Source organism: Homo sapiens, chromosome 11 (genome assembly GCF_000001405.40).
Source record: "Homo sapiens chromosome 11, GRCh38.p14 Primary Assembly".
NCBI classification, from domain to species: domain Eukaryota; kingdom Metazoa; phylum Chordata; class Mammalia; order Primates; family Hominidae; genus Homo; species Homo sapiens.
This window is the reverse complement of record NC_000011.10, coordinates 95148827-95174435: the sequence shown is the minus strand read 5'-3', so window position 1 is coordinate 95174435 and position 25609 is coordinate 95148827. Positions and strand designations below refer to the sequence as shown.

Sequence of the window (25609 nt, the reverse complement as noted above, 5' to 3'; positions counted from 1 at the left end):
ACCTTTGAGCCAAATATACTGTTACATAAAAATATTTATTTGAAAGAAATATATAGGCAACATGAAGTTAGAAAACCTAATAAATGTTAAGGATCTTTATCAACATCATAGTATAAGAGCTGGCCTTAAGTCCTAGGACTTTTAACCTTTAAGTTCAAGAATCTCCTTTATACAACAGTTTCGAAGCTTGAAAGTAAGAAAATCTTTTTAGGAAACATTCGCTAATAAACTGTATGATCTTAGCAGAGAATGTTATGGCTTCAGTACCTAACAGATTTTTTGAAGTCTTAGAGCCACTCACATCAGGTAAATACCCATTTTACATCCAGCATTTCCCCTTGATGGGTCTTTATCCCATATTTATATGTTTGCTCTAGATTTTCTTCCTTTTCTAGATTGTATCTAGAAATTCTCTTTACTCTTCAGGAGAATATATCCAACCACATATCCAACTGGTATAAATATATCAAAAGAATATAATATTAAAACATATTTTTATAGTAAATTTTGAAAACTTGTGGATACCCATTTTAACTTATCAGCCGAGATGTAACCCCGAAAGAAATGTTCTGCAGAATTTTATCTGAAAGACTCTAGGGAAGCTATGTATGTCTAACAAGTATCAAACACTAATCAGAAACTTTAAACATCAGATTTTCACTTTAGTATCTTTTAAGTAAATACTAGGAAAAATTTTTTAAAGCTTTTCACAGGATAAGCATAAACTGTTAAAAAAAAAAATGAGGGCTGATTTTTAGCCATGTAAAATTTTATAACTAGAAAGAAATGTAATTTGTAGGAAAATTATAATTTATAAAAATTAGTTTTATTTTATAACCCAACAGATTGACTTTACAAAAATAACAACTTTAATAAAGTTATCAGAATTTTTTAGATTTTATGGGTTATTTTTACTGCTTGCAGAGCCATTAGACACAGGTTTGAGTGTTGCATCATGAACATGGATAAATATGCCTAGGTGTGTGTGTGTGTGTATATTGCTTATATACACATAAAAAAACCTTTGTGAATGTCTAATAAGATTTTCCAGGTGTTTATAATGGTTACTAAACTGATAACATTTTCACTTCTAGGTTCATGTCAATCTACTTTTAATGGAAGCACGAATGCAAGCTGAACTTCTTTATGCTCTTCGTGCCATAACTCGGCATTTGACCTGAAGTATCACCCAAGGAAAATGTCATACATGTGTAAAGACCTTTCACATAAGATAAACATTGAAGCTATTTGTGATATAGCATCAAAAATTATTCAGTTCTCTAGTGTCAAAGTTTAGCCGTTTGTTTTTTTTTTTTTGTTTTTTGCGGCTGTAATGTGCAATGATGTGTTTTATTTTCCTTGATGCTTAACATTACTAACAATTGCAAAAATAATACTGAGGAGCACTACTTTGCATTGTTTGTAGTTGGAGTTTTGGATACTGATCATAAATCATGAATCTGGCGTATTAATGCTTAACTTCAGCGCCTTTGGGTTGTGTGTATGTGTATTTTTTCTCCCCCCACCCCGCCCTTTTTTTTTTAAGAATAAGGACAAGTGCTTACAATCTGCTCAAGCAATTGTTTTTCAGATATTGGAATTCAGCAAAGAGTGACCTCTCTGGCCATTCTAAAACTTTAATGTTGTGTCCTAAATCTGGTGGAGGAAAAGCATGCGCTGTTGAACCAAGCTGCTCACTGGACACATATTTGTGTCCCCAGGAGATTATTTGTCAGGCACTGTTTTTTATTTGTTTGTTTGTTCATTTATTGTTGTTTTACTGCTATTGGCGATAACATGAAATGTGATACAGCTATTGCCCATAATTTAATGTGAAATTAATCATGATGAATTCTATAGCATGCTACTGAAATGCCAAATTCAGCTATTTTCTTTCTCTTCTAAAATGGAAGTTTCAGTTTTCCATATCAGATGTATATAAGTGGAATTATAACACAATCCTATCACTGACAGTAATCCTCAGTCACCTTAAATAATCAGTGCTCACAGTGCTGCTTACAGTTCATTTAGTTGGCACATATAAACCTGTACCCACACAAGACTGACCAAAAATTTTCTTTGCACATTTTTCCTTTCTCATAGTTTTTTTCTATATTTCGTTAAGCAAAGGAAGGTTAATATGCCTATTTTTCCTGTTAGGCTTTTAGAAATTATTTTCCATGACTTTTGTTCTTATAATAGGTTAGACAGTTTATTTTTCAAAGGTAAAAATTGTGTTTCTATGCATTAATGTGATTGAACTACAAAAACAGAGTGCAATATGTTCAAAAAATACTCAACTAAACTTTCCCCCTGTCATATCACTGCAAAAGTGTCCTTTTAAACAGAGCCATAAAGAAATTTTTTTCAAATTTCTTTATTGCACAGGCTTTTTTCAGTTTTACCTTTCTGGGATTGAACAATGTTCCTTTCATAATGCCAAAGCATTCCCTTCCCCAGAAAAATCTCCTTGGACAACTGGTTTAAAAACGTTATTAAGTCATAGGGGAGGAATAAGCGGCCAAAAAGTCACATTTTTGCATTGGTTTACGTTGCTTGATTAGACTATCTTCAGAGAGCACATTATGTGTTTATAGCTTTAATTTGTATTATGTCAATGAACCAGTGAAGTGCCTAAAGAGATGCTTACAACTATCCAGTAGGACACAACTGCACTGCTTTTTAAACACTTTTTGGTTAGTTAAGGGTGACTTGAATTGTACACATACATGCTAATTTTTGAAAACTTATCCATTTTTCATAGTAAATAATATAGATAAAATTTTCTGTTAGAGTTCCCGCAAATATTTCATTTTAGACTTACTTGTGATATAAGATTTAACTTTTCTTTTGTGAAAGAATCGTGAACTAGTGTTTCATGAAATCATTTTCCTCTTCCATTTATCATCCTCCTCTGGTACAATATATTGGGTTGCTTTCTTTTAGATTTTGTTCCAGATAGGAAAACAAATATGACTGTATACTTATTAACATAAGGTAGTTCTGCATTTTTGGATTCCAGGATCCTGTTTGAAATCTTCCATGTGAGGAAAAAATTACTAATATTTTTAAAGACAGGGTGGTTTATTTAAAGAGATTATTCAGAGAACTTGTGCCATATCTCGTCTGTTTTATTGCATATGCCATATGTTAACTTTTATTCAATATTACATTATGTAGATATGTAATACAAAGAAAATATTTAGGAGAATGGCAAAACACAAATGGCAACATAAATGTCCATTTGACTTACCTAACTTCACAACTTTCAAGTTGAGGATGTCATTTATTCTTGAATTTGTTTTTTTACTAGATGCTTTCAATTAATAGCCCTATATTTTTGTGCAGGCGAACTGTATAACAGGATAAAAAATGATTTGTATGTATTGAAAAGGAGGAGAAATTCTCACAGAACACCATATGAGCTTTAGACCAAAAGGGGAAACAAGGTTTAAGTAACTAAAATGGCCACTTAGTTTGTGTTTATTTTTTTCCCTGGAAATGTAAGTAGTTGGAGTTTAGGCTATGGAAATATTAGTGCCTTTAATAGATCTCTTTCCTTGCAAAGTTTCTTTTTAGCTCAGCATTGATCTATCTTATCAATAGGAAAATAAGTTGACTTGGAACTATAAACAAAAACAACACCATATATTTATGAACCTCAGTGAACCAGCCTAGAAAAATTGACTTCTGCAGGTGCTAAAGCACCTACTAATACGCAGCATGCACAGCATTTCAGGTTGTGAATACCATTTTACAACGAGTTTGCTGTTAACTCTCTTTATCCAATGCAAACTTGAAATTCTGATGCGGTTTTCCAGGGTGGTATTTTTTCAGAGTATTGAATTTACTATTTAGTAATTTATAGTATAGCTTTTTATATTAAAATGTGATATTTTTAAAAGAGATATCTGGTTCAATTGGTATAATGACGTGATTATGCAATATGCTGATCTACACCTTGCGCTCACATTGTGCCAAACTTAAATGTGCAAGTGTACGTGAGAAAAGCACATGTGAATGTGAATTCTTTAATTCTTTGCTTATTATGTTAAAATTAGTCTTCATAGTCCACTGATGTGTATGCTTGAATAATGTCTATTTACTTTGGAATTTCAAGATTTCCAGCTTCAATGGTAATTTATAATTTCTCAGATCACCTTAAGAAATATTGAGATACTCTCCCACCTGAAAATAATCTGTTCTTTAACCCACCTGACTATGGGAGTAGCCAGGCAGGTGCCTCACTGGCTTCTTCAGACGAGGCTTCCTCAGGTGGATATATGACTATTAGGGGAAAAGAGGCTTTTGAGACAGCTTATTACCTCCTTCCCCTTTTTGAACTAAGTACATTGTCTCAGTCCCAGTATGAATTTGTCCCATTTGGGGTATTTTTAAAATAAAAGATGGCTAACATGGAATCTGGGGCATAGCCTTGGCCTTTAATTATGGTTGTAAGCCCAAATAATGGCAGAGAAACACAGGGCTGTTTTTACAACAGAAAACTCAATATAAGTTTTATATAAGAATCCTATAAAATTTGAACCAGAGCTCCTATTTAGTTGTTATAATGTCTCCTAAAGATCTTAAATGCTTCTAAAAGCTAATTATTATTCCAGAGCAACTTTTTCCTTTTCCCCCTTATAAAGTTTTTTTTTAAATCCAAAATCTTAGATTTCTGTGCCACAGCAAAATAAAATGATCAACAATTAAAGATCTGTACTTAAAATAGTACACCATTTTTAGTGGAGGGAGGGTGCATGCCTATATGATGGTAAGATTCTTTTGAACTCTAAGGACAATTCCTCATGGAAAAAATAAATTTCAGTGCATATTATAAAAATGATTTGCACTGTGTTAGCAAAATAAGGTGTTTTAGGTTGTATTTTAAAGACAATTCTAAATCATTTCTCTGGAAAGCAAGACCTTAAATTCTTCTCTTTAATAGAACTGCTTTTATGCAAAGAGATGGTCTTAACATGGACTAAACAGTACATAACAATAATGTTTGTTATGTAAATAGTATATCACATTTGCTTAGTAGCACAATTCAACAGCAGGCTGAAAGTCGTGGCTCCTCTGCTCAGATTGAGTTTTAAGTTACCTAATTTATGTAATCAGAATCTATTCTAGGTGGCCGTCAACGTAAACTGTGTTTCCCTATTATATCCCTCTGGAGACTGAGAATCAAATTAAATAGTCTTTCTTCAAAGCAGTACTGTAACATGAATGTATTTATCTCAGTCAACAGAACTTATATGCCCACTGTATGTGGAGCTTATTTCAATGCTAATTTGGCTTAGTTAGCAGACCTAGAATCTGCCCAGGTGAGACCTAGAACAAAAATAGCTGGGGTGAAATGGATAAGAGAGGTAGAGGTATATGTCAAGGCAGAGCCCTATGAGGAAGGAAGAGTTTTCAAAGAATATGAGGAACATAGTGCTGAGAGTGTGGCTGCCTTCAGCACCGTACACCTAATCTAGAGAAAATATTTCCCATGTGGGAGGTCCTGTCTGCATTCAGTCCACCCTTTTCTGCCTGCTTCTTCCTCCAAGTGCCTCAACCTCTACATGCTCACTCTCCTCCCCTTCCCTCAGCCCATCTTGGTCTAAGCAGCTTTCACAATCCAAACCAAACATCACCAGCCACCCGCTGATAAGTCACCAGCATTTACTTTCCTGAGTTACTTTTTCTCCATTCATTGAGACTATGGATTCATCCCAACTCCTTCTAAATCCCTCAACCATCCAGCTATATTTTGGCTAACCTTTGCCCTAGACACTCTACCAGATGTTAATGCAGTATCAAGTGTAAATTGTGTCACCCTATTCTGTTCTACCCTTTTCCCTGCTGCCGAAATATCTTGCTCTCCTCTACCTCATCCCCAAAGAGCCTATAAATTCAGAGTATCCAACCTTTTCATGGATTCACTCACTGTTGTTCAGTAATACAACTTCCATATTTTAAATAAATCATAAAAGATTTTTGCCTTCTATCAAAGTAGGAAACTTTATATTTATACATGATACAGAAATTGAACTATTTCTATCGTTCAGAATTTAGCATATAACAGGATTTTAAAGTGATTGAATTGCCATCCTAACTTGGATTTGTATTAGGTTATGAATGAATACTGTTGTTAGTCCAAGCTATTTGAATGTAAAGTTAAAATTCTCCAGCAATCCAGAATGACTTGTAACCCTTCAGTGGAATGGGAAATTTCTGGTATGCAAATAGGGTGGTGTTCCAGACATTTGTTTTATTGGTGGTGTTTGGGCCTTGAAACACATTTCTAATAGAATGACATATGGCAAAGGGTATTTAGATGGTCCTATGGGATCACAGAAGCCCATATGATTTAAAATATAGATAAAATAACACAAAATTGGGTACATAAGGGTTTAACCAGGCTTTCCTGGGTTAGACTAAGCCTCTAACCTCTGTTCCTATCCTGTTCTTATGGGAGGAAAAAAAATGTTCCATGGGATGAAAAGAAAATGCATTGACTTTGTAGTCTTTATTCTCCTAGCCGCACTTCGGGTATATCCAGAAGGAAGAGGAAATGCAAAGAGGAAGAAGATGTAATAGTTCTTCTCTCCAGCTAGGTGCACTTGAGGTTGTTCATAAATGTAAAATTATGTCAGGTTTCTAACATGGGACACTGCACACAGTTGTCTGACCTGATGAACCATCCCATTTGAAAGTATAGATTATTATTATTTCTTGTAGTATTTGGTTGTTTTCCATCTCATTCATGAACAACTCAACCTGATAGTAGTATCCAATAAATGCCTTTCAGGGCTCAGGAATGAATTGACATCCTAGTTAAGAAATGAGACTTAATAATGGAGACTGAATGAGGCGGTTTGTATTAAATTATATGCCATGAAGTGTTCATTTTAGCTTTAACCTAATTATGACTGTACCACCATGAAGTACAGAATGAAAAATTATATATATGGGGGGGAAACAGAATGAATATCTGATTCTTTTGAATGCTTGTGGAAATCTTTGAGATCGTGCAGGGCATACCACAAAATAGCCTTTAGAACAGATACCCAATTTTACAGTTCATAGGACAACATCAAACATTAGTAAGTCTAAATAAGATGAATAGAATTTTTGTTATGTAAATTTTGCTAGAACAGTCTATTTTCTTGCACCCCTCAAGTTAACCTCTTAAAAAAATGAATGTATAATTTCTACCGAAAGAATATCAGAGAGAATCTCTCTGGCCTATAGTGTTAAAATATTGTTCACAAATCCTGATTAGTTAAGTGCATACATTATGAAACTTACAGAATAAAACTTATTATACATCTCTTTCTTAAATTAATATCTTTACACATTTTCAACTGGCTCCCCAAGTCTGATAAGGAAGGATTAAAAGAAAAAAGAAATGTATTAGTTGGGTGGCCAAGGAGTTTCCTTTGTAATGTTGAGAGACTTCCGCTTTCTGAATTTCGCTGGTTCTCTAAGGTAAAAGAGTTAAATAGTACCCTTGTTCACCAAGGAAAGTGATCCAAACTATATATCTAGTGCAGATATTTCCTTTGCATTATTTAGTCTTCTCTGGAGAGAAAATACAGTTTCCCCTTCCTCTTTCTCTTCACATTTACTCTTTTCAACCCAAAATAAGAGACATAGAAAGCAAACCACAGCCAGTTTGGCATCTTCTCAGTGCTACTAGTATAGGCACATACACATACACAGTCTCAGCAAGGTTATAAAGAACCCTGTCAGGTCCACTTGCAACATGGCCTTGCTACTTGGATTAGCTCCTTTAAGCCTGAAAATAACTTTCCTGGTCATGGAAGAACTGGACGCATCTTTTAACTTATGAAATAGAAGTTGAACTTGAAAACTCTTTTTAAAAAATCCTGGTTTTGCAGGACAGCTACATAATGAATGTATATATTAAGACTGTAGCTGAATTGCACATGAAATCAGATTGCCAACTTCTTGACTTTCAATGTTAGACATTTATCCTTAAGTTGTGAGCGATATATGTAGCATGCTGTGAAATGTCTGTTATAGCTCTTTAATTCATCAGTATTAATACAGAATTATCATTTGCGTTTCTTGGTACTTTTTATTCAATGTAATCAGAAGCTGTGATGTTTTGCCTTTGTAGTCCTGTGCTTTGTTACTGTAATTTTTTTTTTTTTTTTACGAAGCACGTGACTGGACTAATGTAAGGCAGATGACGTGATCTTTAAGACTGCTATATATATCAGTCTCTTACTCTATAAGGTTTTAAATTAGAATAAGCTTTTATCAAATAGATAATTGATGCAATTTAGGATTCACGCAAGTTTCAGTGTCAAATGGCGGTCTTATAGTTTCAATTCTGAAAATAGCAAACTTAATAAACAGCCACTTTAAACTTGTTCTGGCAAACCAGACCCTGCTGTAGATATAGTCTAAGGTAGTTAACCATATAAGCCTTTTCAACTCTTAATGCCCTCCACATGAATCAGCAGTTAAGAAGGTTCTAGAACCCATGAAAGCTTTTGTATGTATTACTAGGTTTTGTTTTTCTTATGTTTGCTGATTTTACAGTTCTGACTAAAGCTGACCTAAATGGATCAGTTTATGTGTAATATTCTAGTGCTTTAATGACTCTTTTTTTCTTTGGAGGGAGGGTAACATTATTTGGACAGATGCAGAAGGAACTGTTAGTGAGTCAAGACAAACACATCTGAAATAAAGGAACTGTGTATTAACATGTTAACAATTCATAACTGCACTTTTTATGACATTTTGAAAATCTATTTATAGGTACAGAACAATGGGTTTTGTTAAACTGTATCACATTTATACTTGCAGAAATTTATTTCATTGTTATTAGTAGGAATTTTATTGGTTCAATAAAATTGGCAAAACTGAACACCAATCATTTGCCTACTTTGTTTATACTGGAGTAGCATTCTCGCTTGGTTTATTTCTGCTTGATTATTGAGACATGCATTCTTAAAGATATCAGAATTATAGGAGTCATTATTTTCACTATTTTTTTCCTGACCCAGTTTCCTGGTGATATTTCTTATCACTCACTCAATATTCTATTGGTGGAATATTGCAAAAGTGTAAGTTGTGCAAAATATATAGTTATTGTTACCTTTTAAAATATCAATTGTGATCTTAGCAAGAGGCAAATTAACTTTATTATTGTCTCTTGTTAACCAAAGCAGTAATTAGAATGAGGAAAGAGGCATCGAACATAAGGTTGGATTAAAGGCCTGGATTAAAAAACCTAGTTTTTTTCATATTCTACTAGCTTTGCGACCTTGAAAGTAAATTAATCTCTATGATCTTTGATTTCTGCACTACATTCTATCAGGAGTAATACCTTCTTGAGATGGTTAAGAATTAGGTGATGTGTACTCATGTATTTGAAATATACAGCACAATAATGAGCTTGAATGGATAAACAAGCCCAGAGAATAGTGTTACTATTTGATATAAAGTAGAAAAAAAGTAATGGAGAGAGGAAGATGATATATGTGTAATGTGAAGTGGTGATAAGACTTCTAAGTAGGAATGTAAAATAGGCTTTTGGAAAGCTATAAGGGATGTGCAGTCTTTTGTGCAAGTTTTCTAAGGAAGGACCTGACTTTTCATTTATCTTAAATTCACATATTACGTAAAAATTTATACCAAAGGCAAGATTTCTTCCTTTGTGCCATGTGTCTAGCTGTAATGGGAGATCAGTGGAAACCAGCTTCTTGCCGATTAGAGTCTATCTTTTGGCTGGGTTTGGTGGCTCATGCTTGTAATCCTAGCACTTTGAGAGGCCGAGGCAGGAGGACCTGCACTTAGGAGTTCGAGACCAGCCTGGGCAACATAGTGAGACCCTGTCTCTCAAAAAAAAAAAAAAATCTTTTTTTCAATAATATGTAACGCCAGGGGAGACAAAGAACAGGGTACATTGGGCCAAACTCAGCTAACAACCCAGTCCTTCTACAAGTTCTCCCCCAATTCAAAATCAGGCTTTTGACACTAGTTTCCCCATGAATTTATTAACAACTTTGAGCCATTTTTTAAAGTAAAATAATACTTCATGTTTATGTGTGTACTTTGTCCTTTCACGTATACAATTTCATGTAATCCTCACAACTTTGTGAAGAACAAATCCTCACAATAATTTTACAATGACGATATCTTCATTTTATAGATGAGGAAATTAAGTCATAGAAAGCTTTACTAGTGTAAGAAAGTTGGTACAGTTTTTAGAATTGGCACAGTGGAGATTCAAATTCTGGTCTTTCTGACATTTTTTCTACTGAACTTCCCTACCTTAATTCAGCTTAAGTTTCTTGTTGAATGATATAAATGACCATCTGAAGACCTGAGAACAAACCCCAACCTTGAGATGCTGATGTAATTGGACTGAGGTGAATCCAGTGCATTCAGTCTTGAAAAGCGTTCCTGGTGATTTCAATGCCTGATACATTTTGAGAACCACTGGACAAAATTGTATTATTAACTCCACCCAATAGATATCTTCCTAACAGCAAAAATAATTGCAGCTCTGATTTACCAAACTGGCCTGCAGGTGGAATGGAAAGTCAACAGCTGAATTAGGCAGAAATGAGAAAAAAAAAAAAAAAATCCAGCTTTTTCTAAGACCACATCTTTAGGGTTGGGGCCTAAGAAGTGCTAGAAAGGTGAAATAGAAACAGGCACCCATTTGTCACATGACACCTAGGAAAGAAATGAAGTGCCTGTGCTTGCTAGTGAGCAGAATACTTTGCATACCGAAATCATTCTAGATTTTTCTGTGTCTATATGCATTTTGTGCACTTGAAAGTATGGCATATGGGTTATGTAATATTTTTTGAAATTACACTCCTCCCTATAATTTGCCAGTGAGAATGCTTGTCTAGTATTTCAGATATTTCTTGAATGCATGGATCCCATGTGACATACAATATTCCATCAAAATAAGATCTAGTAGCATTTCTTAAAAATGAAATAGACTATGGTAGATTACATTCTAAGCTGTGATTATCAGACCTCTATCTGAGCATCAAAATCTACAGGAAATCTTGTTAAAAATAGACATTCCTGGAAACCACCGTGACTTGCTGAATCAGAATGGGAGGTGAGGGGCTCATAAAATTTCCCGTTTTACAAGATCCCCACACAATGTTTATTCACTCAGCACCACACCAGTCTGCTTTTGGAAGCCATATGTCTTTTGGGAGCAGCCTCTCTCTTCGACAACACTATTCACAGAGTTACACAGCCTTAAATCCACCTTGACTGCCTACACTCTCTTTCTGTGTTCCATATATAGCTGGGAAACTGACAGAGTTTCATGACGTTATTAAAGGAGCAAATCAAATAGAATTCAGAAGACGCGACATCAAAGATGGATTTCCCAAGGTGAAAACAAACGCCCCATGACAAACCTGTTAGAAACTGCTTTTGAAATGGAAGTTACTGAAATGGAATTTCTCAAACGGCAAAAAACACCCTTAATACTCTTGATACACATTTCTGAATTGCTTTTCAGAAAGGTTGTGCCAATTTACACCAATGTGCATGAAATGCCCCTCCCCTTGGTCATAAGCACTTCAGACAAATTGCATCTCCTTCATGAATTTGTACAGTGCTGGCCGTGGTGAGATGAGAGAGAAATACTCTGTGAATGGACTAACGACTCAGGGAGGGGCAAGGCCCAGACAGCCACGGGACTCCTGGGCAAGAGAGAAGGACCCTTCTTACCACTTGATTGAAGTGGAGATTCTGGGTAGTGTTCAAGAGAAGTGCGGCTGTCCAACCTGGCCAGAGTGCAGCAGCACTTAGGTCTCCAGCTGTGGCCCAGAGTTGGGGGATGCCTATTTTTTTTTTTTTTTTTTGAGACGGAGTCTCGCTCTGTCGCCCAGGCTGGAGTGCAGTGGCGCGATGTCCGTTCACTGCAAGCTCCGCCCCCCGGGTTCACGCCATTCTCCTGCCTCAGCCTCCTGAGTAGCTGGGACTACAGGCCCCCGCCACCACGCTCGGCTAATTTTTTTGTATTTTTAGTAGAGACAGGGTTTCACCGTGTTAGCCAGGATGGTCTTGATCTCCTGACCTCGTGATCCGCCCGCCTCGGCCTCCCAAAGTGCTGGGATTACAGGCGTGAGCCACCGCGCCCGGGCGGGGATGCCTCTTATAATCTCTGACAGAAGCAGCTTCTCTAGGCTGAGGCCAGGAGCTATCCCTGGGGAGGGCCCCCAGATGGGGTACAGGGAATGACCGGGAGGGTAAGAGGTAAAAAGGAGTTGGGCCAAGTTAGGAGTTTCAAAAGACCTTCACTCTAACTTCAGGCAACAGGCATATCAGCGAAGAAGTCAAGTTAGCTCTTATGCCCTCACATTCAGCTTCCTGGTGCTGTTATGATGCCTCTAACTGCTCAGGACTGTGCCCACCCAGCTTTTCCAAAAGGAACATGCCCCTTCTTGTCTGAAAATGGTAGATTCTAACTGACTCCTTCCATCAAGTGAGCATCTTCTCTCTCTAAAACAGGATTCTGTAAATAGAACTACTCAGTGCTGGCCGTGGCCCCAAAAGGATTCATTCAAGAGGTGGCAATGTGTTCCCACATTGCAAAGTGAAATGATGGTACGTTAAGGATTTGCAAAAGTGGTGATCCCAAACCCGTTTTGTGAGCCTTACTTCAACCCCACTCCTGGCTATGAAAGAGTGGAGGTTGAAGAGGCAAAAAGAGAGGGTTTGTTTAGAAAGTGCTATGCTTCGAGTTCCGGCTCCCTTCAAGGAGTTCATTCTGAGGCATTTGTACAAATCTTGTGGAGTTTAAGGAACAATATAGACTGGCATTCAATTCCAATCTAAAAGAAAGCATTCAGGCAGCTTGCTGCCCATATAGGCATGCAAACCCAAGAGAGAGGACAGCCACAAGAAAAATTGCCCCTCCAGTATTTGGCAGGGCAAGGATATGTGAGCTCTCTGTAGGTCAAGAGAAGACCTTGGAAGGTAACCAGGCTGGAGCTGTCTCAAAGGAACACTGTCCAAGAGACTGGCTTGCCAGAGTGAGGTGCCTCCCAACACAAAGGCCAGAGACTGGGGGATCATAAGAGATCAGCCAGAGAGTGCATTGCCGAAGTCAGCCTACTGTATGGTCTGGGCTACAAAGCCTTTAAAGCCCACACAAACAAAGGATGTTGGCTTTTTTTTTTTTAGATGGAGTCTTGTTCTGTCACCATGTTGACACCATGTTAACCATGTTGATTCAAGCTGGAGTGCAGTGGTGCAATCTCAGCTCACTGCAACCTCCCCCTCCTGCATTCAAGCAATTCTCCTGCCTCAGCCTCCCGAGTAGCTGGGACTACAGGTGCACACCACCACGCCAGGCTAATTTTTGTATTTTTAGCAGAGACGGGGTTTCACCATGTTGGCCATACTGGACTCAAACTCCTGACCTCAAGTGATCTGCTGGTCTCGGCCTCCCAAATTGCTGGGATTACAGGCATGAGCCACCACACCTAGCTGGATGTTGGCTTTTATTGTAAGAGCAATGGAGGCTGTCAAAGAATTGTGTGTGTGTGTGTGTGTGTGTGTGTGTGTGTGTGTGTGTGTGTGTGTGTGTTGGGGGCGGGGGATGGGTAATGATAGTGAAATGATCAGATTTGCATTTCAAGGATGCTCTGACTGGAGCATAACAAATGGAGGGGGACCAGAACAGAAGTAGGAAGGCTCATTAATAAGCTAGTCAGGTGAAAAGAGCAGGCAGTGAAGGCTACAGTACGAACAGCAGAGATGAGGAGCGGTAGGTGGATTTGAACAATAGGTAAAAATCAACAAGTCTAAGTGATTGGCTTGCAGGGAGGGTAAACAATAAGGAGGCGTCAGGATGACTCCTTCGTTCCTGTCTTGCCCATATTGCTGCCTGATGCAGCCATTTACTCACAGAACACTGGGAAGGAGCCAAGTTCTAGGGAAAAGATCATGTGTATTGCCTTGATAACTTGGGAATCTGAGATGCCTTTAAGATCTGCAAAGATGTCAGGTAGACTAATTGAAGCTTTATACCTGGGTGAGGGTTTAGGAAAAAGCGAGAGATAAAGGTAACCAAAGAGCCAGTCTTGAGGGATCCCAACGCTTAAAGGCCAGGAAGAGGAGAATGCACTAGTGGGGATGAAGGAGAGAGAAAAGGAACTGCCAGAGTTGCAGGAAAAAAGACCATCTGCCACCCCGGTCCTCAATGCTGGCTACAACAGGAAATAAAATGGATGTGGCCCCTGCCATATGGAGCTCACAGTCAGGGGAGTGAGAAGGTGGATAGTAAGCAAGAAAACCACGAAATTATAAAACTACAAATTGTAGTCAGCATTATAAAGGGAAAGACAGAGAATAAGAATGAATTGTGGGCTGGGCACAGTGGCTCATGCCTGTAATCCCAGCACTTTGGGAGGCCGAGGTGGGTGGATCACCTGAGGTCAGGAGTTTGAGACCAGCCTGACCAACATGGTGAAACCCTGTCTCTACTAAAAATACAAAAATTAGCCAGGCGTGGTGGTGCATACCTGTAATCCAAGCTACACAGGAGGCTGAGGCAGGAGAATCTCTGGAACCTGGGAGGTGGAGGTTGCAATGAGCCAAGATTGCACCACTGTACTCCAGCCTGGGTGACAGAACAAGACTGTCTAAAAAAAAAAAAAATGAATTGTGGGGCAGGGAAGAGTTCTTTGTGGATCTGCATTAGGATGCTTATGAGTGGCAGCTGTCCCCAGGGAAGTGTTTGGAGAAAGGAAATTGCCTGGCACCTGTGGTCTGCTTTCCCACTGTAGCCCTGTTCTTCTCTCCCCAGTTACTTCCCAGGAGGTGCCTGGAACCTAAAGAATAAGTGTCCTTGAGCAGTGAGTGTCTCTGAAAAGAAGGGAGTGAGGAACTTCAGAATGGACACACAACAAAAAAGCCCAGCTGACCATTAATGGGTTGGAAAGATGCTATCACAGGGCCTGGTCCCATTGGAAGATGTTTGGGCTTTTCGCCAAGGCCTGATGACCTCCACCACCTGATCTGAGACTGCCCCTATAACAGCAAAGCCCTTGATCAAAGCAAAATGACCCAGAGAGTTTCAGGTATCCCACAGCTCTGCCAAGCAGATTTCAAAGAAATGCGAACTGAGGTTATCATGAGGATTTTGTGCTAAAGGAACCAGGGTATCAGGTGGCCATGCCTTCTCAGGGCCTGAGCCTTGGGGATACCACGCAAGTTCCCTAACCAAGCTATCTGAAATACACTCCAGCCTAAGGGTATATTTATTCACCCAAGGTCCGTGTCAGATTCCTTTATTAGATTCTTTTATTTCTCTAGAAATAAACAGTGAAGTATAATTCATATACAATCCCATTTAACAAGGCAAATGGAAAGTGCTGTTTTAAAGCAGCAGCCATAGGCATTGTGAGAAAGCACAAAGTCAAGGTTCGGGGCGTAGGCTGTGGAGTCAGACACACCTAGGCTCAACTTCCAGCTCTGCCCCCTACTGGTTCAGTGATGTTGAGACGGAGTCTTGCTTTGTCGCCCAGGGAGGAGTGCAGTGGCGCCATCTCTGCTCACTGCAACATCTGCCTCCCGAGTTCAAGCGATTCTCATGCCTCAGCCTCCCAAGTAGCTGGGATTACAGGCGCCCACCACCACATCTGGCTAATTTTTGTATTTTTAGTAAAGACAGGTTTTTGCCATGTTGTCCAGGCTGGTCTCGAACTCCTGACCTCAAGTGATCCGCCAGCCTCTGCCTCCCAAAGTGCTGGGATTACAGGCGTCAGCCACCACACCCAGCAAATTACATAATCTTTAATGCCTTCCTTCTTCATCTTTATGGGGATAATAGAGTTATATGAATGAATTAATGACACGGAGTTTAAAGCCTTTCTCAGTCTAGCCTGAACTCACCTTTCCAGACTCAGCCTGTGATTTTACTCCCTTCCCCCAAGCCACATGAGAGTCCCAGGCTGCAGCCACACTGGCCTTTCTGCTACTGCTTCCAGCCATCACCTTCTCTCTGCCCCGACCACGCTTCCCACTGCCTGGGTTCCCTCACACCACCCTCGTCTACTGAACTCCCACTCATCTTTCAGAGTGCAAAGCAAATGTCACCTCCTCTTTGAAGCATCCCCTGCCTCACCTAAGCAGTCAGCTGCACCTTGCTCTCTATGCCCATATACTTCCTCTACATCTTCTCAACGATAGTAATAAACACTCAAAGTGCTAAGCACTGAGCTTAAGTACTTTAACTATTTTAACTCACTAAATCCCCACAGGAACCATATAACACAGATTTTATCACTAACCCCATTTTTAGGATGCAAAACATAATGCACAGAGAAGCTAAGTAACTTGCCCAATGCCACACAGCCCACAGCAGAGCCAGGAAACAAGCCAAGCCCTGTGATGACAGAGCTGGTGCTTCTAACCACAGTGCTACACTGTGTACTCCTTATCCACAGGGTGCGAAGTCCACTTCCCCCAACAGGTGGGAGGGCCAGGGATTGCATTTTCTTCATTTCTGCATCCTCAGATCCTAGCACAGTACCTGGCACATAAGCACTTGCAACTTTCTTCCTCTCACACACCAAAACTAGACTATTTAAGGAAAACCAATAATTCAGTAACACTCACCCATGTGTTCTGGTCTCTTCTTTTTGGCTATAATTTCTGATTAAAAAATACTGCTCTGTAGTCCTGGCCAAGGGGCCTCATATAGTCTCTTTGAAGTTGATGAATAACAATGAACTTCTTCTAGTTCATTCAATTAAAAAAGAGAAGCCATCTTTTCCCATGAAGAAGTTTGAGGCCTAAGGGTAAAATAGAGACATGGATCTGTCACGACACCTTTTCCCACTGAAATGAAGAGAATCTGTTTATAAAGAAAAAAAAGAGTAAAAACAGAATTCAAAAGGCAACCAGGCTTCCAGAAGGGCCCTCCCTGGCCCAGCAGCTCCTGGAGGCAGTTGTGGAATCTAGAGTTGGAGGAAGTCTTGAAGAGAGAGCTCTTTGAAGGCACAGCTGGCTACAAACCAGTCCCGGAGCCGGCAGCCCAGCCCGGCTCAGCACATCTCAGCCAGAACATAGCTAGGCAGGCCAAGGAATCCTAAGAAGGGGATGATATTTTTAAAATCTTTGGCGTTAGCAAAACTGAAGGTTGCCTGGCCAGTGCTTGTCTCTTTCTTTTTCCCAGCTCAGTGTCTAATTTGTGTATTTCCAGGATTCCGAACCTTTCCCCAGCAGATCAGGTCTAAGTGCAAACGGTCCCTAAGTCACCCATGTTCCTTAGGCTTTTTCCCTCCTTAGAAACAAAAGGTGGACCTTTGCCAAGATTAAATGGCATTCCATTCAAAGCTCCAAGTCTGGCTCAGTTCAACATGCTCATGAGGAGGACTTTGAAAGTGCTATGGATAATTTTCTAACAAGGCACAACTACCCAGCAGGACTGAGACCAAAAAAAGAACCATCTTTTAAATGTAAGTTCTTATCAGCTCTGGAAAAAAAAAAAATAGACGTTATTTAAGCCAAAGCTTAAATTTGGGCTAAAGCCTCAGACTTGAAAAATGCTTGAAGCCAGAATTGGGAGGTGACAGGGGTGTACCAAGGAAGGGTGGGGGTGGGGGAAGCACTGGTTTGTGATTTTACTTCCAGTCTGCGGTCATTGAGTTCATGAGTTTGTACACTCTTGGACCTGTCAGTAAGAAAGTATATATTGAGCATGGATGTTATAGCAAAGCTCAATATACCATTTGGAATCGTATGAGACAGGGTTGTTACCCTTGAGTACTTCACCATCTCACTAAGGAGAGAGGGAACAAAAATAAGCAAAGATCTTTTTAGGGGACTTGGCATATGGTAAGGGCCTCTCAAAGTCACTTCCTGTATTCCCTTTCGGGTGTTGGAGAGAAAAATGATGTGACCGCTAAACGTGTCCCTGGGACAGAGAGGAGCCAAAATTGACCATGGAAAGGGAAAGATCACTGTGGACTTGAGTGGCCTGTGAGACTGGCATGGTAAGAAGACGGCTATGGGTTAGGGAGGCCATCCATGATGAGCTGGTGGAGGAGAGATGGGAGGGCCCATGGTGGAGAGTGGTGAGAGTGAAGGGCAGAAAGGCCAATCAGGGGCCTCCAATTCCAGGCCAAGTGGTTTGGTTTAGCCCAGGTTTCAGATTAGAAGCCAGACTCACTGATGGCTATGGATGTGTGAGTGTGAGTGTGTGTGTGTGTGTGTGTGTGTGTGTTTCTTTTTTGCTTTTATTGGAGTTGATTATATATGTTTAAAGTCTGAACTGGAATGTCTGGGGTCAGGGAACATTTGCTCCTCAATTTTGAATTTAGCTTCAGGCTCCACTTACCCAGTCACTTAATTTGTATGTTTATGTTACCTACCTGTAAAAATTCGAGATTGAGGCCCCTGTCCTTCAGGTAACAGGGAACTAATGGATATTTTTGGAATGATGGAAATGGTATTTCATGATTATCAGGGTTGCCATATAAAATACAGAATGCACAGTTAAATTTGAATTTCAGATAAACAACAAATAATTTTTAATATATGTCCCATATAATAAAAATTATTCATTTTTAAAATTCAAATGTAACAATGTAACTGAGTATCTTGGCGTTTTGTTTTTGCTTTTTGCTAAATCTGGTAATCCGGCTCATGTGGCATATATAAAATTAATGGGAGGAAAGAGAAATGAGATTAAATGAGGAGGTTGTACAATAGTCTCAGAAAGACATGGATAATCCACTCCTTTAACAGGATGGATGGCTGCATTGGAGGTGAGAGACATTCACAAAAAAAGAACGAGCGGAGCATGCAGCTTGGTTAGAGATGGGGAACAAAAGAAGAGAAGTAACCCCAGGGTTACAGAGACACAATTCACACTACAGCTCTGCTGCTTAATTACACAAGATACTCCCAGCCTTGGTTTCCCCATTACCACTTCTAATGTGTCATAAGGAGTAATGAAAATGCCTCATAAATGCTGCACAAATGTCGGTTGTTGTAATAAATGTCCCAGCCCCATTCTTTTCAACACACACTATTACTAAAGCCGTGTCTCTTCCATGCTGTCCTTGTCTAATTATTTTGAACACAAAGGTAAAATGTCCCTTTGTTCCATTTCCCTATTGGCCCACACAGCTCGAACTTGTACAATTCCCTGTTCTCCACATGGGCACTCGCGAACACTCAGAGCTTCCTCTCCTTGGCAAATTCACGGGCCTTTCCTCTGTTTTTCCAGCAAGCCATTGGTAAAAATGTGTATTAGGACAGAGTTGGAGACACAATAAGCCAGAAGCTCTGACCCTCGAGGTGGCCATCAGTCCACGCATAAACACCCTCTGGGTCCTGTCTAATGCACTATACCTGGACTTTGTTTCTCTGTGCCCAAACATCAGACAGAGACCCCCTGTGCAGATAACATGAGGCGATGGGCCCTGATACTGACTACCCCTGCTACTTTCTAGCTCGGTGTCTTGGGGCACATGGTGTAGCTTTTCCTGTAAGATAGTTTGTTATTTACTGTCCTTTTATTTCAATTGCTTTTTCCTTTCTTCAGTGTCAATTTTATGACTAATGGTTACACTAAAATTGTCTAAACCTTTTCTTTCTGGATTACAAATGATGGATGCATAAAATGCTCCCTCTGGCCTGGCTTTCTTCAAGTCACCTTGCCCCTGCCCTCAGGGAGCTCAGCTTCTCATCTGTCTCCAGAACTTCTGCCAGAATGCTTCACCTTTCCTTGGCCTCTGTTGCCACCTGCAGGAGCATTTGGAGGAGGGTTCCAGGACCCTAGATGCCAGAGAGGGAAGCAATAGGCATGTGAAATCTTGAGTTTCACCAGACAAAATCTCCTCACCTCTCTTGAGTTCATGCTGCAATATTTATGTTATTTATTTATGTTTATTTATTTGAGGCAGAGTCTCACTATGCTAGCCAGACTGGCTTCAAACTGTTGAGCTCAAGCGGTCATTGCCACCCACCCCCTCTGCCCCCACCTTAGCTTCCTGAGTAGCTGGGATTATAGGCACGCATAATCATACCCAGCAAAGCTCCAGTATTTAATCAGTTGAGTGACTTTAGGCAAATCACTCCTTTTAGCCTATTTCCTCATCTCTAGAAGAATATTTGATATCCATAAATTTGCTTTGATAGTGATTGTAAATGGGTCATTCATTTATGTATTCACGAAGCAAACAGCATGTTGGATAAAAAGACATGAAAATATAAGAACCTGAGAGAAAAATCACAATATTACAGGGGCATCAGTCAAACCCACAGGAAATTGTCAGTTTGTTTTGATAGACCTATAAACAAAGTGTCACATGATCTAAGTCATGCCTCTTGTCTGGTGCAAGCAGGGAAAGCTTCACAACAGAGGTGACATATTAATTGGACTTGGAAAACCACATAGGAGTTCACCAGGGTTTGGAAGAACACATAGGAGTTCATAAGGCAGAGAGGAAGGGAAAGGACTTTCCAGAAAGGGGAAGCAATAAGCCAAAATGTTTTGACCTGCAGGTTGTTCCCAAGGAGTGACTGAACTCTTGTATCCTGCAGCAAGCAGGCTTGGTAGGAGAGAAACGTTAAGGAGAGAGGAATGTTGCCAATGTCAAGGGAAGGAGTGGTGAGGCTTGGCCCTGGCAGGAGTCTAGTAGGGGGATGAAGAAGAGGAGCTATCAGGCTGCAAAAAGAACATTGAATCAGGATGGGCAGGTCTGCTTCATGGCCCAGACTCTTCCAACCACTCACTATGGGACCTTGGCTAAGTTAACCACCCTCTCTATGCTTCAGTTTCCTCATGTGCAAGTGAAGATAATAACCCCCACCTCGCTGTGTTGTTGCCAGATAACACATGCAAAATCATTAACACAGTGCCTGCCGCAGATGTGCTCAAACAGGTCAGCCACTGGTGTTACCATTAGATATGCAGCTTCAGGGACTTATTTTGTCTCACCAATCCTACTTTCCTCGTCAATAAAGTGAGAACGAGAGTGTCTGCCTTGCATGCATCAGAAACTGTGAAGATACAATCAAGTAATACAAGCTGTACAGAATGAGATAATGAAGCCTACATTTTAAAATATAGCAGGCATCTACCAATCATAACGCAGTTTCACTTTCATTACGACGTTTAACTTTTTCTGACAACAACCTTATGAGGTAGGATTATAATGATGTTTATTTTACATGTGATGAAAGTTGGGTTCCTTCATTTAATAGATGCTCCTTGAGCAGGTTCTGTGAACAAGACAAGACCATGGGAATTGTAGTTGAGAAGAGGAAACAGACTGCAGGTACATGCTGGGGGAACCGGGGCTCAGGGCTTCGCCCTGCTATGTCTCTACTCACTCTCTGATGATCTCTCCAAGGGACTGATGGGGCTTTCAGTCCCATGCCTGTATCATGGCAACCCATATTTCTATCTCCAGCCCAGCCCTCTCCAGACCTGTGTGTCTGCCCAATCAATCTCTCCACTTGTTTTTCTAATGAACACCTCAAACCTAAAATATATAACATTAAGCTGTCTTATCCCTCTACCCCAGCATCTTCCAATCTCAGCCAGCAGCATCTCCGTTTTTCCAGCTGCTTGGAGTCATCCCTGATTCCTGTCTTTTTCTCATACCCAAAAAAACAATCAGACAGAAAATCTTATATATATGTAAATCTTCGCCCCGGTTGGAGTGCAATGGCGCAATCTCGGCTCACTGAAACCTCTGCCTCCTGGGTTCACGCTATTCTCTTGCCTCAGCCTCCCGAGTAGGTGGGATTAAGGGTGCACACCATCACACCCAGCTAATGTTTTGTATTTTTATTGATTGATTGATTGACTGAGACAGAGTCTCGCTCTGTCGCCCAGGCTGGAGTGCCGTGGCGCCATCTCGGCTCACTGCAAGCTCTGCCTCCCAGGTTCACACCATTCTCCTGCCACAGCCTCCCGAGTAGCTGGGACTACGGGCACCTGCCACCACTCCCTGCTAATTTTTTTTTTTTTTTTTTTTTAGTAGAGACGGGGTTTCACCGTGTTAGCCAGGATGGTCTCGATCTCCTGACCTCTTGATCCGCTCACCTTGGCCTCCCAAAGTGCTGGGATTACAGGCGTGAGCCACCGCGCCCGGCCTTTTATCCTACTTTCAAAAAACATACCCAGAGTCTGAGTGTTTCTCCTTACCTCCAGCGCCACTCCATGGCCCGAGCTCTGTTTCACCTGGTTCTCACCTGGATCGCGGCCTCCAATTTGCGCAGTGACCCCTACAGTCTATTCTCCAAACAGCAGCTGGCGTGGTCATTATGAAAAGCAATGTCCACCTGCTGCTCAAAAACCCACGAATGGCTCCCCATTTCTTTCCCATTAAAGCCAAAGTCTAAAACATTTACAAAGCGTTATATGATCAGTTCCTACCTGCTTTCCTTATGTTGGAGGCTGTGAAGCTCCTTAATATATAAACAGTTCTCAGGAGAAGGAATAAAAGCACAGCCACCTCCTCAGCAGAGCCAGTTTACACTCTGCTAGAGACAAGAGGAGCTGGGACCTTCTCCCCTAACCCTTACTGCATATGTGAGAGAAGCCAGACCTGCTGGATCGACTGGAAATGCCCAGTGCCTGAGACGGGGAGGAAAGAGAAGCCGTGGGGAGGAAAAGACTGTAAACCTAAAAGGCATTGAAGTCCCACCTCACCAGTTAGGCAGGGAGGAGAAAGAGGCCTAGGGCGCTCGGGAACTTGGAATAAGGTTGCCCTCTGCGGGTGAAACTGTGAAATATCTCACAGTGGAGGAGGGCGGAGACTGTTCGCAGAGGGGCCCGGCGAAAACGTCACCCTACTGGAGGTACGAACGCATCGCAGACTGGGGGCGCCCGAGCGCATCCCAGACGCGAGGGCAAAGGCCCAGGAGGACTGTGGGGCTCTCGGAAGTATCCGATCACCTTGCGAGGAGTCCGCCGGCTGTCCGAGCCTGATGTCACTGCAACTTCGATTCCTCCGACGCCCCTACTCTTACTTCCCAGTCTTCAGGCAACTTCTCCGCTTCGGCCTCCCCTAGGCCTTGGCCCCAGAGAGGGGACGCACTCCACAGGTGGATTCGCACGTGTGGGCCCTCGGCAGCACTTTCTCGTGCAAATTAACAGGTGGCCCTCATTGTGGAAGCACCGCCCAGCCTTTCCCGGGGAGGTCACCAGGGCGAGGCCGCTCAAGGTCTGCAGGCGCCCGGCGTTAGCGGGATCCTCCCCGCGCACTGGTCCGAGGAGGCCAGGAGAGGGCGAACCAGTCCCCGACCAGCGGCCCTTCCGGGGGTGGGCTCTGACCCCACCGAGCGGTTAGAGGGTCCAGGAGCTCCAAAGGGTAGGGCAGAATTGGGTAGATGAGGGTGCATTTTTCTGGGAGGAGTCTAAGGCGTCGCTGACTCTCAAAGGCCCGCATCCGGAGAAAGGGAAAGAGCCCCGTCCCGGGAGGAAGGACGAGAGGCTGGCCCGCGGGAAGGAGCCCTGGCAGTCCCTCCTGGCCTAGGTCTACCTCTTTGATCTCACCGTCCCCGTGGCGGCGAGTGCCACCAAAGATGAGAGAGGCCAGCAGGTATCGGGAGAGAGCTGAGGGGTCGGCGCCGGCGGGACCCCAGATTGGAGCCGCCGTCGTCGGACGGGCAGACCCTGCTGTAATAGCTCCCGGCCGGCCACGGTAGGCAGGTGGGGCCCACCGCGAGTCCTAGTGAAAAACACCTTCCTCTTGATTCTCTCAAAGGAACCCGAGCCCTGGGAAGGGACATCAAGGCGCTCCCGAGACTCCGGAGACGGCCAACAGCCCCAAAAGAGAGTACTCGGCTATCCAGCCGCCCTTATCCAAGCGGAGAATCTCTCTCCACCTCCGCCCTCCCGGGACTCAAAGTTGTTTGTGGAGCCTCCAGGTTTCCTTGTAGATGGGCACGATATGCACTGTGTGCGCGCGCGCGCACACACACACACACACACACACACACACACACACACACGTATATGTATTTTTCCAGTGGCCACTGCAGGATTGCCAGCTTTCGGAAATGAGCATCCGCTCTCTCTCTCGGGACTGGGCGTGGGGTTCACCGAAAGGAGAGGAAGAGACCTTGCGTTTGCGCTGGGCCTGCTCGATGCCAGGCCATTCTAGGCTTCTGTCTATCCTGGTTTCTGGTCTGTGCGTTGTGGGTAGCAGCATTGGCGTATTACGCCGGAGGGAGCAGGCTGAGCGAGGCTCCAGAAGGTGCGCAATAGCCGGAGAGGAAAGGGCGATGCTGTCACCTAGCCCCCTCCCTGAGACTCCATTCAGCCCAGAAAAAGGAGCTGCTTTCTCCCCCATCTACCCTAGGAGAAAATAAACGGTCGCTGGCATTTTCCTGCGTCTTTTAATTTTGCCAGAACTGTTTTGGGTTGGCTATTGTGGGCCAGGATGGAGGCCTTCTCCTCCCGGGAGCAAACCTGCCCACGCCCAGGCCGGCAGTGGAGTCAGCCTTGCCCCAGCCTGCCCTCCAGGGAAACAATGCCCCTTTGTCCCTCGCCCTCCCGGGGCTGATACAGCCCCTCCCCTTAGCTTAGGGCTCCCTCCCGTTAGAGCATTCCAATGATTGCCACAAGTCACACTTTTCTTTGAGGTCTCTGCCTGGGAAGAAAACAAAGCAGCCCTCCTAATCACACGGAGGGAGTGGAACTTTTCCTGCCCTCTGACTATGTGCCAGCCTTGGCTCCTCCCTGAAGCCCTGTCTAGAGGGCTTATTAGGTCACTTATGTTTTGTACCTCGTGTGAAGTCCCACAATCAGTAGATTATAGAGGGGAGCACAAACCCAGCAGTGTCTGACATAGAGAAATTACACATACATACATACACACATACATACATACATACACACACACACATACACACATACATATACATACATACATACATACATACACACACATACATACACACATACATACACACATACACATACATACATACATACATATATACATACATATATATAGTCTTTCCACCACCCAGGATTGAAAATTAATGCTGTTTTTGACATTGTCCGTTATCCACCCAAACCCTCCAAAAAGGCTGGCTGGCATTTGCTTGGCTCTAGTTCTACCTGCCCACCTTCTCCTTTGCCTAATCCTGAGTTTTCCCCTTCCCCACGTGTGTTCCCCTTGAGCACTTTTTTGCTAACTTCCTGCATGCTACTGTCATCTCAGAGACTGATTCCTGGGGAGCCCAACCTGTAACATGGAGCTCAGTGGAAAGCACATGGAATGTGGACTGAGACATGACTGTGTTCAAACCCTGGCTCTGTCGCTAAGTGGTTACTTGGTTTGGGGCAAGGCATTTAATCCCTCTAAAGTTCACTTTCATCTGGGGGGAAAAGATAACTGTGAGGATTAAGTGAGTTTATATATAGTGTATGAGTGCCTGGACCACTGAAGCAGTGCAGCAGATGTTAGCTCCTCCTTCAGTAATATTTATTGAACATGGCATCCCAAGTGTTACTAGAATTTATATTTCTACTTTATAAATTTTACTAGAATTTATGTTTTCATATTCTTGATACTAATACTGCATTTTTGAAAGGGGTGACTCCTTCCTTATTAAAGTTTTA

General features: G+C 41.9%; 1 protein-coding gene and 1 long non-coding RNA gene across 6 annotated transcripts in view, besides 4 other annotated features; one reads left to right on the top strand and one right to left on the bottom strand.

Annotated features, from left to right (window-relative positions):
- The window catches only part of SESN3 (sestrin 3), a 66963-nt gene extending 58040 nt beyond the window's left edge, over window positions 1–8923 (top strand). For all 5 annotated transcript variants that reach the window (NM_001271594.2, XM_011542614.2, XM_024448355.2 and 2 more), the window contains one exon: window positions 1095–8923. In NM_001271594.2, coding sequence (NP_001258523.1) covers window positions 1095–1181 — 87 coding nt within the window. In that variant the 3' untranslated portion in view covers window positions 1182–8923. The remainder of the gene's footprint in view (window positions 1–1094) is intronic.
- A 6364-nt stretch (window positions 8924–15287) lies between these two features.
- On the bottom strand, window positions 15288–23897 carry LNCRNA-IUR (lncRNA imatinib upregulated). The gene is made up of 3 exons (NR_110303.1): window positions 22688–23897; window positions 16633–16808; window positions 15288–15827 (listed from the first exon to the last, which is right to left on the bottom strand). It is a non-coding gene; the product is annotated as a lncRNA imatinib upregulated (long non-coding RNA).
- Window positions 22668–22777: a silencer, noted in NCBI's record as "silent region_3847". NCBI's record gives its function as "represses an Ori minimal core promoter by ATAC-STARR-seq in GM12878 lymphoblastoid cells {active_cell/tissue: GM12878}" and the evidence as "EXISTENCE:reporter gene assay evidence [ECO:0000049][PMID:35858748]".
- Window positions 23028–23569: an enhancer, noted in NCBI's record as "H3K4me1 hESC enhancer chr11:94884031-94884572 (GRCh37/hg19 assembly coordinates)". NCBI's record gives its function as "activates a minimal SCP1, AML or CMV promoter by ChIP-STARR-seq in naive H9 embryonic stem cells {active_cell/tissue: H9 hESC(naive)}" and the evidence as "EXISTENCE:reporter gene assay evidence [ECO:0000049][PMID:30033119]".
- Window positions 23298–23427: an enhancer, noted in NCBI's record as "active region_5415". NCBI's record gives its function as "activates an Ori minimal core promoter by ATAC-STARR-seq in GM12878 lymphoblastoid cells {active_cell/tissue: GM12878}" and the evidence as "EXISTENCE:reporter gene assay evidence [ECO:0000049][PMID:35858748]".
- Window positions 23570–24111: an enhancer, noted in NCBI's record as "H3K4me1 hESC enhancer chr11:94883489-94884030 (GRCh37/hg19 assembly coordinates)". NCBI's record gives its function as "activates a minimal SCP1, AML or CMV promoter by ChIP-STARR-seq in naive H9 embryonic stem cells {active_cell/tissue: H9 hESC(naive)}" and the evidence as "EXISTENCE:reporter gene assay evidence [ECO:0000049][PMID:30033119]".